At 36.5% G+C, this 19,867-nt stretch overlaps 1 protein-coding gene across 20 annotated transcripts in view; it reads left to right on the top strand.

The window, feature by feature from the left end:
• ABCB4 (ATP binding cassette subfamily B member 4) overlaps positions 1–19,867 on the top strand; it is a 110,132-nt gene that overhangs the window by 19,075 nt on the left and 71,190 nt on the right. For 19 of the 20 annotated variants that reach the window (XR_007060054.1, XR_007060047.1, XR_007060046.1 and 16 more), the window contains exons 5-14: positions 2,361–2,418; positions 3,818–4,009; positions 5,159–5,330; positions 6,861–6,985; positions 9,748–9,919; positions 11,978–12,091; positions 13,180–13,290; positions 13,509–13,634; positions 16,551–16,754; positions 17,116–17,286. Coding sequence is in view for 8 of the 20 variants with exons in the window: in XM_011516309.4 (XP_011514611.4) it covers positions 2,361–2,418; positions 3,818–4,009; positions 5,159–5,330; positions 6,861–6,985; positions 9,748–9,919; positions 11,978–12,091; positions 13,180–13,290; positions 13,509–13,634; positions 16,551–16,754; positions 17,116–17,286 (1,445 nt within the window). In the remaining 12 variants the exon portion in view is untranslated. Of the gene's footprint in view, positions 1–2,360; positions 2,419–3,817; positions 4,010–5,158; positions 5,331–6,860; positions 6,986–9,747; positions 9,920–11,977; positions 12,092–13,179; positions 13,291–13,508; positions 13,635–16,550; positions 16,755–17,115; positions 17,287–19,867 lie in introns of those variants that run through there. The other variant, XR_007060055.1, reaches the window with a different exon arrangement.

Below are 19,867 nucleotides of genomic sequence, written 5' to 3'. Positions count from 1 at the left end.
GGTAGCATCTGACAAGACCAGGAGTAGGCTCTTTTCAGATCTAGCAGGCCATGACTTTTCAGGCAACACACCAACATATGTTTAGTTCACCTTTGTCCCAGGCAGCAGAAACTCTGAGTTTCCCCGGGGACTCTGGAGCTCCTCAGGTTACTAACCCAGCACTAGATTTCCATTCTTGAGACTCTGAGAAAGGAGCGGGTCCAATCTGGAACGCTCATAGATTCTTTCCTAGGAGGGAGAGTCAATTTGAGTTGGTATCTGTGTTAGTCCATTTTGTGTTGCTAGGAAGGAATACCTGAGACTGGGTAATTTATGAAGAAAATATGTTTATTTGGCTCATGGTTCAGCAGGCTGTAAAAGTATGGTACCCACATCTGTTTGGGGCTTCTGGCAAAGCCTCAGGAAGCTTTTACTCAGTGAGGGAAGGTGAATGGGGAGCAGATGTGTCACATGGAGAGAGAGGGAGCAGGAGGGAGAGGCCAGGCTCTCTTTAACAACCAGCTGTCACATGAACTGAGTGAGAACTCGCTCATTATCTCAGGGAGGGCACCAAGCCATTCATGTGGGATCTGTCCCCTTGACCCAAACACCTCCCATCAGGCCCCACCTCCAACACTGAGGATCACATTTCAACGTGAGATTTGGAGGGAACAAATATCCAAACCATATCAGTATCCTTATTGAGAGAATTTAAAAGTTTGAGGTAGGTGTTGAAAGAGAGGAAAAACTTATTTAAGATTTCACCCAATTTTTCAGTTCAGGGAAATAAAAAAACCACAATGATTTTTACAAATGCCACAGCTTTAGAATAGCTTGCCTGCCTCTAGTTCCAAATACTCTTCCAATTTGCCCTATTTAAAACTTCAGGATGGAAATGAACACACAGAAAGGAACTGATAAGATGAAAAGTAAAATAGGGTATGAATCTTCAAGGTTCTGATAGCTTATAAAGAGCTAGATTAATAATCGGAAATTTCACTGTGAACATCAGTAGAAATTATAATCCTGGGGGAAAGATGATGCTGCAGTTGGGGCCAGATGCCTGGTAATTGATCCTGACAGTAGTTTGAGTTTTAAATAAGTTTCAACCTTATCTTTCTTTGGAAAAAGATAAGGAGGATACACAGCACCACGAAAACACGAAAACACGACCCCTGGGCTATTTACACATGGCAAAGGAACAAAGAGACCAATTTCTCTCCTAGGACCATGGAAAATGAGAAATATGTACCCTGATGTGTTTTCTCAACAATGCTGTGGTGATATTTTATCCTATTATTTTGTGAATGCAGTAGATGTAGGCTGTTTCTTATTTTTTCATTTGTCTTTTCTAAAAAATAAAAATAAGTCATTGTCACATGAATAAATCAGTATAGTATAGTGTTACGAGCATAGGCCAAATTGCCTGGGCTGACTTTCAGCTCTGCCACTTACTAGCTGTATGACATTGAGTAAGTTACTTTATTTATCTGTGCCTCCATTTCCTATTCTATAAAATGGGGTTTGTGAAATAGTCTCACCTCATAAGATAATTAAATGAATTAACACACCTAAAGTATTCAGAGCAGTGCCTGGTATTTAATAAATGCTCAATAAACATTAGCTATTATTAAAACATGGAAATCAGGAAAGATACATTGACATTTTATCAAATTAGCTCAAATTAATAGACAATAGATTTCTTTCCAATTAATACTGCTTCAAAAAATACTAGAATACAGCAGTGCTGGTAAACAAGAGGTGGAATGCAGGATGTTCACTAATTGCCAGTGATCACTGACATGCCTTTGAGCAACTAAGTTATCTTCCCTGTCTAGTTTTTCCTCCTTTGCGATGGATGTAACTTAGCCTTTCCCTTACTTATGTCATATGAGACATGTAAAGAAAAAACACACAGATATAAAAATAAAATTTATTGAAGTTCTATAAAGTGCTTTGAGCCACCAAAAAAAAAAAATGCCTCTTAAATCCTGTGTTTTCTATTTTAAATATTTCTTATTCCCTCCTCTGTCTTCTGTGTGTTTTGTGGCTTCCTTGTCTCTTCAGTGGCTCCTCTGTGCCTCCTTAGAAGGCTGCTTTGCTAAAGGCTGAGACCGCCAGGATGGGGGAAAGACCTGGGAGGGCTTATCTTCCCCTTTCTTGGCCCTTAATGTCCAGTACCTAAACCCTTGGGCTCTTTACTTGAGTAAAGTGAAAAGAATGCACTTAAGTGTGCAAAGAAAAGTGTTTTTTAAAGAGAAACTTAACAATAGCATCTTCTAGCTTTCATACATTTAAATTATTAACAGATTTTTAAAAACCTGGCAATGCCTATTAATAGTTTGATCTTTTAACATGTTTTATTTTATTTTTTAATTTAGTGAACTTTTCCTTGTCGCTGCTAAATCCAGGCAAAATTCTGGAAGAAGAAATGACTAGGTAACTCATATATATGGTCTACTTTTTTAAAGTTTCATTTGAAGATAATTTCCAATTACAGAGTTATAAGAATATACAAATAACGTGTACTCTTTACCCAGATTCACCTATTATTATCATTTTTGCTCCCAAATCCCAATTTAAAGTAAGATGCACACATCATGGCCCTTTACTGCAGTATGACTCCTAAGAATAAGGATATTTTCTTACATAATCACAGTACAGCTATTAGCTTCAGTAAATTTCAGTACTTTTATCTAATATAACATCTATATTCCAATTTTGTCATTTGATCCAATAATGTCATTTATGGCATTTTCTCCTCCTTCTAGTTTCTCAATAGAAATCTCTAAAGCCTGTAAGCATGATGTTTGTATGTCTGCATAGCAGTGTTGCTGATTGTAACGAGTGCTGTCTGTATGCTAAAAGGCCTGAAAGGTGTCTATCTGGAAGCAGTTTATAAAATTAGATAATAAAAATTTGAAAGTATTGATATGTACTTATTATTTTTTAAAATACTAACTTTCTACTAATTTGGTAAAACATTCCAAATTCGTTTGAATTCATGACATTTTATCATATCTTTTTTTAAAATATTTCAAATTCTGACAAATAGGAACAAAGTTTTTTGGTTCTTTTTATAAAGAATGTGGAAAAATCAATATGGAAAGGGCGATTTCACATGTTCAATCTGCTTATTACTATATTTGCAATATGTAAATAGTAGTGAACTTTTCAGTACAATAAGATATACAAGTCTAGAATATAATTATTAAAGAGGAGTTAAATTGTATCCACAAGTTATCAATATCAGTTAAAAACAAATCATTAACTTTTTTGCAGTTAACAACAAAAATTTATCCATTTTCTTTGGCTAACAGTTCAAGTAAATAGATTTGCCATCATGGAGCTCATCACTTTATAATTTAAAAAAAGAAAAATGTAATGTCTGTTTGTTATAATGTCCTATACAGTTTTTGTTTTAAGTTTAGTAAATTGATTAATTTCCAGTTCTGAAAATTTCTCCTGAAAGAGATGAATAAAGGATGGTAGGGTGGGGGTGGTGGCTCATGCTATAATCCCAGCACTTTGGGAGGCGGAGGTGAGCAGATCACTTGAGGTCAGGAGTTCGAGACCAGCCTGGCCAACATGGTGAAACCCCATCTCCACTAAAAATACAAAAATTAGCCAGGTATGGTGGTGCATGCCTGTAATCCCAGCTACTCGGGAGGCTGAGGCAGGAGAATCACTTGAATCCAGGAGGCGGAGGTTGCAGTGAGCTGAGATGGTGCCACTGCACTCCAGCCTGGGTGACAGAGTGAGACTCAGTTTCAGAAAAGAAAAGAAAAGAAAAAAGAAAAGAGAAGGTATTTAATAGAGCCTTTCTCTTTTTTTTCAGATATGCATATTACTACTCAGGATTGGGTGCTGGAGTTCTTGTTGCTGCCTATATACAAGTTTCATTTTGGACTTTGGCAGCTGGTCGACAGATCAGGAAAATTAGGCAGAAGTTTTTTCATGCTATTCTACGACAGGAAATAGGATGGTTTGACATCAACGACACCACTGAACTCAATACGCGGCTAACAGAGTAGGTACATTGTTAATGTCACACTTTCATATAGAAATTAATTACTGTGTGAAAATATGTCAAGGAAAGATTTTAAATGAAAAATGTTACTAGATTGAGCATCTGATCTATATTAGAAATCGATCATCTGGCAGCCATGTCTAGCAGCATCTATAGCCTATGCCATTGCATGTTGGCTTTCCCCCAAGGTGCATAGTAGGTTTATTTGAGGACTGAATTCACATCTTATACCTGTTTATTTCTCATGGAACTTTCTACTGCAGGACGTGACAGGTGCTAGACTGTCAGTAAAGATGGTTGAATCAATGAATAGATGATTGAATTAATTTACAAAGAGACTTGCTTTAGTAATTGTCAACTCTTCACTTATTCAACAAATATTTGAGGGTGTTTCATGTGCGAAGTACCATTCTGTGTGTTCGTAATATATCAGTGAACAAAGCACAGATCTCTGTCCTTTTGGTGCTTACATTCCAGTAGAGGGAGATAGATGATAAACTTTCCTGACTGGGAGTCCTGGCAAAGGCATCCTGAGCAAATAAGTCAAAAAAAAAAAAAAAAAAAAGGGAAAAGCAAGACATTTAGGGCCTTGTAAACCTCCACAAAGACTTCAAGACTTCAGCTTTCACCCAGTGAAATGGCAGCCGCTGGAAGTTTCTGAGCTGAGGAGTAGCATGGTCAGACTTGCATTTTCAAAGCATCCCACTGGCTGCTGTGTTGAGAATAGACTTGGTTGGGAATAGGGACAAGAGTAGAAGCAAAGATCTCTTCCCTATTACTTCCCTATAAGAAGAAATGCAGTAATACTTCCCTACTACTGTTGCTTATTATTGTTGCAATGTTCTTCTTAATTCTTGCTTTTAAACAGATACATTTTTATGCTCAAAATGTTAATGCTTCTCTCATAGGATTGACTCATTTAATAGTATCAACTTAATGATACTAACTTATTAGAAGCATTGATCAATCCTGAATTTCTTCCTTTGTGCGGTGTTTAGGTGGGGAAGATGTTATTCAAGAGGCTAAGACTCTGAAAGAGGCTTGCAGTCAGTGAACAAATTTTACTTGTCTATGTGTTTGTTGGATGTCTACTTCATCTTTCTAACTGAAACCTCCTGCCTGTAACCACTTAGGTGTGATCTTTTTTAGTGACATCTCCAAAATCAGTGAAGGAATTGGTGACAAGGTTGGAATGTTCTTTCAAGCAGTAGCCACGTTTTTTGCAGGATTCATAGTGGGATTCATCAGAGGATGGAAGCTCACCCTTGTGATAATGGCCATCAGCCCTATTCTAGGACTCTCTGCAGCCGTTTGGGCAAAGGTATGTGAAAGCTGGGCCTTTTTATGTGTGTTAACCCCTGCACACAGTAATCTTTAATATGCAGAAGTCTCGTACTTGTACCTGTTCAGGTCTACATTAAATGTCAGTTGAAACTACATCCAGTAACATGGTGTTAATATGATGCTTTCATAAGGAAATTAATTTTTAACATAATTCAAAATGTCACAGGCTGGGTGTGGTGACTCATTCCTGTATCCCAGCACTTTGGGAGGCCAAGGTACATAAATCACTTGAGGTCAGGAGTTCCAGACCAGCCTGGACAACATGGCAAAACTCTGTCTCTACTAAAAATATGAAAAACTAGCCTTGCGTGGTGGTGCATGACTGTAATCCCAGCTACTTGGGAGGCTGAGACAGGAGAATCGCTGAACTCAGGAGGTGGAGGTCGCAGTGAGCCCAGATCATGCCACTTCACTCCAGCTTGGGTGACAGAGTAAGACTTCATCTCAAAAAAAAAAAAAATTCACAGTTCTTACTTCGATTACCCTTAGTTAAGGAAGTGCAACTTTAAAATATAACATTTCCCTCAAATTATTGCATGAACATAAAAATTTTAAATAGAGTTTGTATTTGTTCTATTTGTTTTAATCATTACCTGTGATGGTTAAGTGGCACTCTGCCAGTTTTGCCTGGCAATAAAATACACAAAATGTATTCTACTTTAGCCAACACTTCAGAGTTGAGAAATTTTACTGGCAATTTTTGCTCATCCTGACGTTGATGATTTACACAGTGAACTACCTGTATCTCTTTTGTTTTGATTCTTCCTTTGCTTTTCTCCTGAAACATCTTGTTTGGCTATCTTATTATTCAGCAGAATGCCCATGAGGAGGTCTGGAAGTATTGTTTTTATAGTAATTAAAAATTGTGACACAAGTCCAAAGTGGGTGGATCACGAGGTCAGGAGATTGAGACCATCCTGGCTAACACAGTGAAACCCTGTCTCTACTAAAAATACAAATAATTAGCCAGGCGTGGTGGTGTGCACTTGTAGTCCCAGCTACTCGGGAGGCTGAGGCAGAAGAATCACTTGAAACTGGGAGGCAGAGGTTACAGTGAGCCGAGATCGTGCCACTGCACTCCAGTCTGGGCAACAGAGTGAGACCCCGTCTCAAAAAAAAAAAAAAAAAAAATTGTGACACAATAAAGTTAAGAATGGTAAATTCTTTCAAAGCAGTAAAGTTTTATTTTATTTTACCTTACAACTAACAAAGAAAAACAGTAGATGTGGAACTTGACAGTGTTCCCAAGAGTGCTATTTAGAGAATTATGTGTGGATTTTCTTTTTTCCTGAGTACTCTTGGGGAGCCTATCACCAGGGTGGGTCAGATATAGCCTTTGAGGGATGTGGACGCAGCCATTGGATCCAGAACACTGGCATTTGCTACATGACTTTAATATTTGTTAAAGGAGAGGGTTTGGGAAGAAAAAGTAGGTTAAAGGGTTGACCAGAGTGCCTTTAAACTTTTCTCCCTATACAAAAGTGATCACTGTTTCTTTTCTGTCCAGATACTCTCGGCATTTAGTGACAAAGAACTAGCTGCTTATGCAAAAGCAGGCGCCGTGGCAGAAGAGGCTCTGGGGGCCATCAGGACTGTGATAGCTTTCGGGGGCCAGAACAAAGAGCTGGAAAGGTCAGGAAGGTTCTTTAGCCACTGGTTTAAGGAATGTGTTTTTACATTTTGTTGCTTCTTCTTTGTGGTATGTGTTTTTTACCTTCCCTTTCCTAATATTAACCCTTCTCGCATAAATTATAAGCACCCTTTACTGATGGCTATAGTTGAATGTCAGACTCTAAAGCAAGATTCTTAATCATTTATGTTCCATGGACTCTTTTGGCTATGTGATAATACAAATGGACTCCCTTGTTTTTAAATGCATAAACCAAAATATGCTAGCCCTTTGGGAAGCCAAGGCAGGAGGGTAGCTGGAATCCAGGAGCTCAAGACCAGCCTGGGCAATGTAGTAAGACCCTGGCTCTACAATTTTTTTTTTTTTTAATAAGCTGAGTGTGGTGGTGTGCACCTGTGGTCCCAGCTACTCAGGAGGCTGAGGCAGGAGAATCCCTTGAGCCCAGAATGTCAAGGGTGCAGTGAGCTGAACTCCAGCCTGGATGATAGAGTGAGCCTCTATCACAAAAAAAGAGTAAAAATTTTTTAAAAACCAAAAAATAAATAAATAAAAGCCCCAAAAAACAAAATAAGTAGGGTTACAAAGGAAAATAATTATATTAAAAATACTTATCAAAATATTTTTTATTTTATTTTACTCCTTAATGACTATGAACTGGAATATAGAAGAGAAAAACCTGAGAAAACATCGACTTCCTAGTTATAGCCCAGAATTCTTTGTAGGGCCTTGTGGGTCCTCCATAACAATGAGGCAGGGCTTCCCACCCAGGCCTCTGGCATTCAACTTTAATGATCCAGGATAAGCCTGGAAAATTGACCAGTATCTGGAGGCATGTTGCAAACTCTTCTCTGAAAAAATTATCAAGGCATGATTGACATATGAAAAGCTGTGTATACATCTTTAGTGTGTATATCTCAATGAGTTTGGGGATAAGAATACACCTATGAAAAAGGCTATTCTGCTCTACTTAAATGAAAATAATTACTTAGGGTTTTATTTAAATAACAATATCCCCTACTGTAGTTGAAGTATGATTCCATATAAAGTATTTTCTTTGGCTATTCTATGGGACTCTTGATACTCACAACTCTTGGATATAAAAATTCTCTGGAAATTCTCTAGCATTAAAAACAAAGTTTCCCTTATTCCCCCCATTTAATTTTCTACTTTTCTATTCCTTAATCCCTCTTCAAAGCCAACATGTTTCTGATCCTCTAACCTCTTCCTTTTTTCTCTCTCACTGCTGCTTCCTGTACATAATAGTCCACACAGACCACACTAACCCTCAGTTGGACCTCAGGATGTCAGTGTAATCTGTGCCGCTCCATTAGCCCCGGTAAGCGAGCCACCTAAGCAAAGGTAATTACAGTGTGTCCGCTGCTGTCACTGGAGCTGTGTGTCACACTGGGCAGATGCAAGTCTTCCTGCCACGCCTTGAGGCTCAGCCACACAGGAGAAATCACAGCGCTAGCTGTGGCCTGCTGGCTACCCCCAGAGATGCAGCTGTGCTCTATGAATGCAGCCCCCAACCAGAGGAAAGCACCCTGAAGACCTGGGTGCTTTACGCAATAAAAAAGACAAACCTTCTGATGGCAGAATATGTTTTTTAAAAGACTAATGAATTCTCATGTTTTATTTGGTTCAACACTAAAACTGGTGTTGCTGTGTTTTGTTTTTTGTTTTTTTTTGTCACAAAGAAAAATATCCTAGTTTGTGTGATATTTTCCCCTCGAAGTGTCATTGCATACCCATTGGATTTTTCTTTAAATTTCAGGGAGCCCAAATTAAATTTTACATACCCTCTGGGTCTAGTATGAAAAAGTAGATTTGATTTAACTTGATGAAAAAAAATTGTAATTTAACAGAATCATTCTAGATATTTTAAACTTTATATCAAATGCCAGCAGCCAGTAATAATGCATTTGAATTATGATTCAAAGATATGATAGTAATAGAATGAGCAAAACTCAGGAAGAGATAAAAGTTGAACACAATGATACTAATATAATAGTAAGAGAAATGATCAGGCTTGCTAACTATGAACCAGCTACTGTACTACTTTCTACAATTATCTACCAACCTCACAATTATCTTGCAAATTAGGCATTATTAAATCCATTTTTCATATATGAAACTAAAGTCTGGAAAAATTGAATAAGAACTCATATTCCATAAGTAGTGACTACCTTATAACCTGTATCTAGCTTGACAGATGAAGGTCAGCCTGATTTTTAAAAAAGTCAAAGAGAGAAGCCTATGTTTATGTACAACAACATGTAAAATTTTCATCCCTCACCCAGTGGACAATAGAGGGACGATTTTCTTTTCTCCAGAGAAGAGACATTGACCAGAGTTAAGAATCTAACTGTTTATGAGTTCCAGTGACATTTACAATCAATTCTGGTTTGGCTTGGTTTCTCTCATTCCCTCTTAACCCTGACTTGTGATATTGCCGTGAAGGTGATGGAGAAGCTCTTCCATATCCCAGGGTGAGCCCTCAATTCTGGAATAACCACAGGAATGTTGGTTGGCTTGGAATGGATGAAGGGAAATGGAACCGGGCCAGTAAAGAGAAGGCTTGGATCTGTTCTAGGCCTGGCTGATCCTGAATTAGTTCAATTCCCAAAGATCTGGGTCTCACCATGGGTTCATTACCTTGACTGACTTTGTTACTTAAACCTCCAACTATATAGGAGCCGAGTGTGACTCGGACTATGGATTGTTATTCTTAATTATAATGTTTTCCCTCTCATTTTTCTGGTAGGTATCAGAAACATTTAGAAAATGCCAAAGAGATTGGAATTAAAAAAGCTATTTCAGCAAACATTTCCATGGGTATTGCCTTCCTGTTAATATATGCATCATATGCACTGGCCTTCTGGTATGGATCCACTCTAGTCATATCAAAAGAATATACTATTGGAAATGCAATGACAGTAAGTAGTTCTCCTAACATTTATGAAGAATATGAAAATCTTATTTCTCCATCTACCTTCTCTTTTCTTTGATATCGCTCCTTTTTGAAAGATGAACATGATTATAGGTTTTTGTTTTTGGTGAATCTTTCCACTGTCCAGTGGGCAGAGCTGACTTTCTAGTATATACAAGTCATAATTATGAGTGTGGATAAGAAAATAGCATGTGGTTAGACCATTTGTGAAACATATACAATGTATAAAAGGAAATAAAAATGGGATGAATTTAGGAATAAACAAATATGGATGGGAGCCATCCTCCCTCTGCCGTTGAGTTTTATTGTATAAGAAAGTAAGCATCATTATTACAGAATAGGTCATTGCACAAGAAAATGTTACATTTATATCACTTAAAACAATCAGCTCTCTGAAATACAAGAAGAGATGTTATGTTAGTTTGTTTTTATTTATCAAAATGAAGATAGCTTCATTTTATGATTGTTAAAATAATATATACTAATTTTACAAAGGATTAGGATACAGAATTTTTAAAATTAAAATTACTTACAATCTAATAATTTATATTCTCTTGATGATAATTTTTGGCATATATCTTCCAGGTCATTTTCTATATATATACACATTGTTTTCTTTCAAAACTGGGATCATACTATGTATATCTTTTTGTAACCACATTTATGAACTACCAATATTTTGTGACCATCTTTTCATGTCAGAGACTCAGAACAATATGTAACTATTTAAATAGAAATCTTTTAACATCTGTACTTCCCTATCTTGCTAAAATGAGGATACTGAGCATAATTTGGCCCTTTGATGATGACTTGGGGTCATTATGAAAGTGAATATTTTCAGAATGCTTTATGCAGTGGTATCTTCAGACTTCATTGAGAGGTTGTGGGTGTTCGACTTGGTGAGCCCTCATTAATGCTGAGTCTAATTTTTCTCACTTCCATCTTCTCTCTGGCAGTCGGTTTGGAAGCTTGCTACCCTTTCTTCACTTCCTCATTTACTATTGATGTTTTATGAAGAAGGGAGGTTGAATCCTGACAACCGTTCACCTTTGGTGATGAGTTTGTCCTCTATGGCCTTAATTTCCTCATTTGTAGTATGTGGATAATGACACCTATCCGGTAGGGCTGAGATTGCTATCCCCAGAGGGAGCCCAAGCAAAGCCCTCTGCATAGAGGGCAGGGACTCTATTGCATTAACCTTATGGCAACTATTTTGGTCAACATTATTTTTCTTTCTTACTGGTCCTTATCTGTATTGCAGATGGGGGATAGATATTTAACTGATATTTGAGTTATGGGTAACATGAAGTGTTGCTGTGTTTTGAGAAAAGCCAAATTATATGTAGAAGTTTTACCATGCCCTGAGAGAAAAAAATAATTTATCTTCACTTATGTTTTTCTCAGTTAAGTTATGCTAATAATCTGGATTCCTGAAGCTGTATTCTGAGCTTCTTTATATCAATTCATTTTCCTAGTGAAAAAATACTGTGAAGGGAAATGTGTTAAGTGTTGTATGCTACAGTACAGAATAACTGTGTAAAGGAATTGCTAACCAGTGCACACTGGAGTGATTTTATGTTTTATGATGTGCAAACTGTTACTTTTTATGTTAAAAATCTTTAAAAATATATGTGACATGGTGCTTTTTAGGAGCATTACATAGGGCCAAAATCTGCCATGTTTTATATTGAACCGTCTATGTAATTCCATGCATAGTTAGAGAAAATCATATAGGATGGAATAATAATACTGACTGAAAATGTTTCTTTCTGGTGGCATTTGTGAGTGAGTCAATGAAATAGGTTTGAAAAATCTTTTTAACTCTGTATGTATTCAGGAGAACAATAGGTAGTTTGAGAAAATAGACCCACTCAGGCAATAAAATGCTATATTAGCCTTGCAAATGTTGCTCTTCCACAAAAAAAAAAGGAAAGGATAAACCTAAACTTAATCCTTTATGTACTATGTTACATATACATCACATTTTAGATAATAATGAATGCCAGAATGTGACTTAAACTTTTCCTCATGTTATTTTGCTCAGGTTTTTTTTTCAATCCTAATTGGAGCTTTCAGTGTTGGCCAGGCTGCCCCATGTATTGATGCTTTTGCCAATGCAAGAGGAGCAGCATATGTGATCTTTGATATTATTGATAATGTAAGTCATTTATTATTTTAGTGCCAAAAGAAGTCTTTGAGCTTGTATAATTAAATCTGGCTTTAGTTTGCATATTTTTGAATCAACTACATTGAATAAGTTGTACTGACTAAAGTGACATTTAATTATATGAAATGAATGACCTGTTAGTAATAAATGAAAGAAAATACCTCTTATTAATATTTTTTAAATGTATCTTTAGATAATATAATAATACTGATCTCATTTTGGAAAAGGACATCTGCACTAGTGCAGAGCAAAGACGTTTCTCTTCCTAGTTTTTATCTTTTTCACTTTCATGTTGTAGCCAGACTGAGAATCTTATGATTTCTATATGGGATGGGGGGTAGATAAATTATCGGTGGGACCAAAATTGACAGTATATTTTGCTGTGGGTTCCCCCTCTCCAAAAAATTATCACTGCATGTTTGGTATGATTTTAAATAAACTACATTAAATAAACTGACTACAGTGAAAAAGAAAAAGTTTTGACGTAAAAAAGTAAGTCACTGCATTCAAATATTGCAAGGTAGCTAAGTGAAATTTGATCATTTAATCTAAGCAATTTCCTTTTTCATTGATCCAAGTCGTGAGAAAAGTGCTCAGTTTCTGATTGTATTAAAAGTTTACATTATTTCTAAATAACTGCTATAATCAACCATTCAATCTTCTCAATTCAATCTATTACATTTATTATTTAGGAATGAGCTAATTTTCACTAAATGCTGAAATACTTGGCTATAATATATATCAATTATAGCATATTTTTGTTATTGCACTTGTATAAATATGCATATCTGACCATTTAGAAAATTTATGAGGATATGCCAAAAACTTAAAGGGAAATATTATATGAAATGAGATGAATATCTCTTACGTACTTTTCAGGAAAACACTATTTTCTGAAAAGGAGTATTTCTTTAAACAGCACACATACATATACACACAATCTTCATCTTGGGTTTTTCTTATGTAAAGGGGATTGTGACATTCCAGGTCCTATTTTTGGAATTTGCTGAATCATATTCCTTAAAAATGCAACTTGTTTGTGCTATGATGGAATAGTCATTACATTTTGTTTTATTTAGAATCCTAAAATTGACAGTTTTTCAGAGAGAGGACACAAACCAGACAGCATCAAAGGGAATTTGGAGTTCAATGATGTTCACTTTTCTTACCCTTCTCGAGCTAACGTCAAGGTACTGTAAGTAATATTTATAGGAATTCCTAACTGAGGTTGATTGTTGAATCATTTTAAAGAATAAAGTCTCTATTATTTTGATACTTATGTGCCTTTTCCTTTGGGGGTTATATTCCCTTATTTGATACTTTTTTTTCAAATTTCAAACTGAATCGAATTATTCCCATTTTAGGGCTTTGTTGTGAAGTGTGTTCTTTTTTCTCATTTTCCTTACAGATCTTGAAGGGCCTCAACCTGAAGGTGCAGAGTGGGCAGACGGTGGCCCTGGTTGGAAGTAGTGGCTGTGGGAAGAGCACAACGGTCCAGCTGATACAGAGGCTCTATGACCCTGATGAGGGCACAGTAAGTGGGAAGAACCAAGCTTTCCAGAGTGGGAAGCTGGATACAAATTGGCCCTTTGAAATTGGTTTTTCAGTAACAAATTTGCGTGTGAATCCAGTTTTGGTAAAAAGCCTACAAAATGGCAATGCCGATGGATAATGCCTTCACACCCTTGGGCTGGTTTCACAAATGCATTAAATAAAAGTCATAAAAGCTGTGGAAGCTGGACAAAGCTCTCCTCTGTTCTGACTAAGCTTTCATAACACATTAAATTACTGCAAAGCAGTCTACAAACCACTGAGAGGATTACTTTCAATGAGTTAGAGTTTGGTCAAACATACTCCATATAGCAATTGTTGGGAACAATTGATGACAATTAGGGTCACCAGATATTTTAGGACAGCAATTAAATTCATCCAAGACAGTTGAGTTTTCTTAAACTTAGGAATATCTAAGGGGGAAAGTGGGATGGTCTCTTAAGAAACTAGTCTCTTGAGAAAATTCTAGAAACACAGAGACAGTAATAGCCTAGGGTATGTTTTTTTGCCATTTAAAAGTTTTGCTATAAATTTGAATTTACAGAAAATTGTAACTAGAGAACTCACAGATCCTTCACCCAGATTTAGATTGTTTATATTTTGACCCACTTGCTTTATCATCTTCTCTTTCTCCGTGTGTGTGTGTATGTGTGTGTTTATGTGTGTGTGTGTGTATTATGTATACCCTTATACTTCAGAATACATTCCTAAAAAGGACATTCTCTTAGATTACCACAAAACAATGATTAAAAATCAGTAAATTTAACATTAATGCAATATACAAGTCCACGAGCTATATTCAGAATTTCCTCAGTTGTCCCAATTTTAGAGCATTGAGTTTATCTGATATTAAAATGGATTATAATTCAATAATTGTGAAAACAGAAGATTATAAGGTAAAAAGTAAAAATAATGGCATGCCAAAACCAAAAATCATAAAAAGGCATTGGGACAGAACAGAGATCTCCAGAATTAATACATAATTTTCTACAATACATGGAACTATTTATTTAATTTAATAAAATTAATATTATTGGAAAAATCTGATATTACTATGGGGGAACATAGGCCCATTCTCATTTACTAAAGTAAACTCTGGGTTGGTTCAAGTGTAAATATTTTCTTTATTTTTTAAAAAGAACCTGGTAAAATACCAACCATTGAGAATTAAATTATTATTGAAACAACTGACATTTTTAAAGAAAGCATATGTTAACAGAAAAAAAAGATCTTCAGAAATTCTATAACTCAGAGATATTCACTGTTAACATCATGATTTAACAATTTTCTTACCACTGAAATAATAGAAAAAAATGCCCAGTGGCATAATTGATTAATTCAGTTGTTCCTTAAGCCTCTTTCCAATAAAAACCAATAAAACTATGATGAAAGAAAGCAATAAAGGCCTGACATGGTGGCTAATGCTTGTGATCTCAGCACTTTGGGAGATTGAGGTGGGAGGTTCACTTGAGGCCAGGAGTTTGAGATCATCCTGGGCAACTAATGAGAATCTGTCTCTACAAAATATTTTTTAAAATAGCCAGGCCTGGTGGTGTGCACCCATAGTCCTAGCTACTTGGGAGGCTGAGGCAGGAGGATCACTTGAGCCCAGGAGTTCAAGGCTGCAGTGAGCTATTGTTGCACCAATGGTTGCACCACTATGCTCCTCCAAAGCCTGAGTGACAGAATGAAACTCTGTCTCTAAATTTAAAAAAAAAAAAGGACAAAAATAATGAATTGGAACAAAAGATTTATTATATATGGAAAAAGTATTATATTTATTATTAGAGAAGTTAATATGAATATATGAAGGTAACCCTGCTCATTATGAACATGCGACTCTCTGGAATATATAAAGATTTGTAAAAAGTTTCAAGAAATGGTCAACTTTATAAATGTATACAAATGAAAACAGATATAAGCTATCACCTCATACCTATTAATTGGAAGAAAACAGATTAAAATGATAAAACCCAGTGCTAGTAAATTACAATGAAACAGATATATTTATATATTCCTGTTGACAATGTAAGTTATTAAAATGTTTTAAGATAATTATTTAGCCTTTTATTAACAAGCAACAAATGCCCAGCAAATCCAGTCATTGTACATGTAAGCAATTGTTGTCAAGGGAGAAAAAATAAATCATAATCTTCAACTTAGTAATTCTCTACTCTTGCAATAAATATTGAAGTAAGTCAAATATTTAAGAAGAAAGGAAGTAAATTAAAGCATGTAAAAAATAGCAAAACATGGGCCAGGCGCAGTGGCTCATGCCTGTAATCCTGTAATCCCAGCACTTTGGGAGGCCAAGGCGGGCGGTCACGAGGTCAGGAGATCAAGATCATCCTGGCTAACATGGTGAAACACCGTCTCTACTAAAAATACAGAAAATTAGCCGGGCATGGTGGTGGGTGCCTGTAGTCCCAGCTACTCTCGAGGCTGAGGCAGGAGAACAGTGTGAACCCGGGAGGTGGAGCTTGCAGTGAGTGGAGATGGGCCACTGCACTCCAGCCTGGGCGACAGAGCGAGACTCCATTTCAAAAAAAAAGCAGAACACCATAAGCTATCAAAATTATATGTAGACCAGGAAGGTAAGTGTGCATTTTTATTTAAATTTAATATTGGAACATAAAAATAATGGTATGCCAAAAACATAAAACCCAAAATTGTTTATGGCAAATAATCCTTCCACGAAAAAACTGTATATATGAAAATAAATATCAGGAGAGAGCATAAGCTTTTTATTTTTGTTCTTGCATATTGCTGTTTATTTCTAATTATTATTTCTAAACACTGAACCAAGTTAAATATTAGGTAGGATGTTTTTCATGAATGGTCCTGATACTTCAGCTATTAAATGGTTAAATACTTAATAGGAAATATTTCTTTCTTTCAGATTAACATTGATGGGCAGGATATTAGGAACTTTAATGTAAACTATCTGAGGGAAATCATTGGTGTGGTGAGTCAGGAGCCGGTGCTGTTTTCCACCACAATTGCTGAAAATATTTGTTATGGCCGTGGAAATGTAACCATGGATGAGATAAAGAAAGCTGTCAAAGAGGCCAACGCCTATGAGTTTATCATGAAATTACCACAGGTAAAGCCTCTGATAAAGTAGTTGTCCTTGAAATTAGAATTTCACCTCATAGGACTGAGTTTATTCTTCAAAGGTTTAGCTAATAATGTTTGAGATGCAAGATTGTCCAACTTTGCTAGATAAGTCCCCTGAATGACTCAGTTAGGGGTTAAAGGATTATAGCATGGTAGATGATTAATATAAAATTTTATACAGCATGTGTCAGTTTTTTATAATTCAGAATTCATTTATCTTATCATACTTTATGATACATTAAAATAGTTAAGACAAAGCTCCATGTTGTCTTTATGTAGTTCTATAGAATTCCTAGCCTTTTTAAATTTAAGTTACTTCAAGAGCTGATCCATGTTTTCTGTGTTAGAAATTTGACACCCTGGTTGGAGAGAGAGGGGCCCAGCTGAGTGGTGGGCAGAAGCAGAGGATCGCCATTGCACGTGCCCTGGTTCGCAACCCCAAGATCCTTCTGCTGGATGAGGCCACGTCAGCATTGGACACAGAAAGTGAAGCTGAGGTACAGGCAGCTCTGGATAAGGTCAGTAGACTCTAAAAAGCTGAAGGACCACCACATTGAAACCTATTGAAGATTCTTGCCAGTGCTTCCGGAGTCTGGGCTGAGAAACAGAAACATAGCAAATGGAGCTACCTCATGGAGCTGTATTGATTTCTCCTTTCTGTCAGGTTACATTGTCTTCAGAGACAGGTGAAGGGTACTGACTTGTTTTGACCATGGTGCAGTGAGCCCAGATCCAGGTCTTTATAACAAGCCATTTAGCTTTGTTTATTTCTTGCACATGGGCTATTGCAAGACTACTTTTGACCAAAAGTAGTCATGTTAAAATATATATATTTTTAAATCCGGTTACCCAGACACTGGTCCAGCTGAAAACTAATTCAGAATACTCACCCTATTTTGTAGGCAGTGACATCATCTTTATCTATTCATGTAGGTGACCAGGTGCTTTTCTGGAAATAAAGTTCAACTCTGTACTTGTCTAAGCATATAAATAAACAATTCATTTTAAGGGTGCTGAGTTCATCTGTCCAGCTCAGATATTTCTAAGTCTCTCATTAGCATTTTTACTAAGCTGAAGTGTCACAGGAAAGACCTTATCTTGGTACACTTTTGGGGGTAATGCTGATGTCATCTGTATTAACAACACAATGTAAATACCAGAGTCAGATGACACCATAGAAATTAGTTTCAAACACATAAATATCATAAATATATTTGATTTAAGACAGTTCAGTAATAATATGTGCAAGTTCCTTAAGGAATTCTATCTGAACCACCTCTTACAATTTAAGAGACAAGCTGCACGAACCTTATTTTCTCAGGAAAATTTATATCTGAATCCTAAGTTAACCTAATTCCCTTTTATGCTGTAAACTGTAGTTAATTAATGCCTCATGGTTTATCAGCTTAATATCTTGACTCTTTTTGTTGTTTTTTAAGACAGGGTCTTGCTCTGTCACCCAGCGTGGAGTGCAGTCGTGTGATTATGGCTCCCTGCAGCCTCCACCTCCTGGGCTCAAGCCATCCTTCCACCTCAGCCTCCTGAGTAGCTGGGACTGCAGGTGTGCGCCACCACACCTAGCTAATTTTTGTATTTTTGGTAGAGATGGGTTTTTGCCATGTTGCCCAGGCTGGTCTCAAACTCCTGAGTTCAAGTGATCATCCTGCCTCAACCTCCCAAAGTGCTAGGATTTATAGATGTGAGCCACTGCACCTAACCAATATCTTGACTTATTTTATATAATTTAATAATGATTAATAACACAATAATAATTATTCCTTACAAATTCTTGCACTGAATTATACTGCTTTTGTGTATATTAAATCATGATATTAAGGAGTCAAAATATAATGCATATGAGACTGGTATATGGTTGGTTATTCTGAAGTTACTTAAAGCAGTACATCATAAAGTAATACATGCATAAGTTATTCTAACTTAAAAATATAATTAGACATTCATGTATTGGCATAGACTTTTTAGAGTAAAGTCGGGTAGAATGAGAGATATATTTACCAAAAAATCAAAAACAAAAAAGAGTCCTATTCAGCCCTGGAGTCTAGGTTCCAATCATTTCCAGGATACAGATATTCAATATACAATATAGTTCTTGCTGTGCTAAAAGAATAGAATTATTGGAGATGACCAGTATGTATTGTTTTTCATAATATGACCTCTGCCAGAAAAACTGTGATCTTGCAAGTTTTAGTACGTATTTGGACAAGTCAATTCATTCAATTTTAGCTGTTTCTTCGTGTTCTATAGGATCATAGCACACTCCTCAGTTGATAACCTTTTTTATATTTACTTTAAAAATAGCTGATGAACTACTCATAATTTTTTAAAGTCTCCAGGAAAAGCCATTAGCAGCTTAGGGTGATGGTTAAGAGCACAGGCTTTGATGCTAGGCTGGGATTGGAGTCCTGGCTCTGTTCTTTTCTAGCTGTGTCCTTGGGCACGTTAACTAACCTCTCTAAGCCTGAGACATCTCTGAAGTAATAGGGGAAGAGGGGACAGAAATAGTATCATAGGATTATTTAAAGAATAACCAAGATACTGCATGTAAAGTTATTAGCACATGCCTAGCACATATGAAACACTTGATATTGTTGGCTGCTGCTATTATTATGGTGATTAGCATTACCAGGATTATTATTATTATTATTTTTTGGTTGCTAAATTGGTTACCTATTGCTATGTAAGAAACTATCTTGAGTCCACGCTTAAAACAATTCAGTGTATTGGCTGAGTAGATCCTCTGTTCTTTCCACCTGAGCACATGGCTGCATTTACCTGGAGGGCTGGCTTCATTAAAATGGTCCATGGTGGCCTCACTCACACGCTGGCTGTTGGCTGGCCATCTCAATTCTCCATGTGACTTCTCACACTCATACAATAGGCTAACCTGGCTTCCTTATATGAAAGTTTCAGGGCAGTGTACCCAGAGAGCAAAGACTAATGTGTGAAGTGTCCAGAGGATTAGACTCCAGAACTCATCTTGTTGGTCACAGCAAGTCATAGGCTAGCCCAGATTTGAGGAGATAACAGACTGTGCCTCTTAATGGGTGAGCAGTAAAAAATCTGTGACCATATTGAATC

This window comes from Homo sapiens, chromosome 7 (genome assembly GCF_000001405.40).
Source record: "Homo sapiens chromosome 7, GRCh38.p14 Primary Assembly".
NCBI classification, from domain to species: Eukaryota; Metazoa; Chordata; class Mammalia; order Primates; family Hominidae; genus Homo; species Homo sapiens.
Note: the sequence above shows the minus strand (reverse complement) of the source record. Positions and strands in the feature narration are given on the sequence as shown.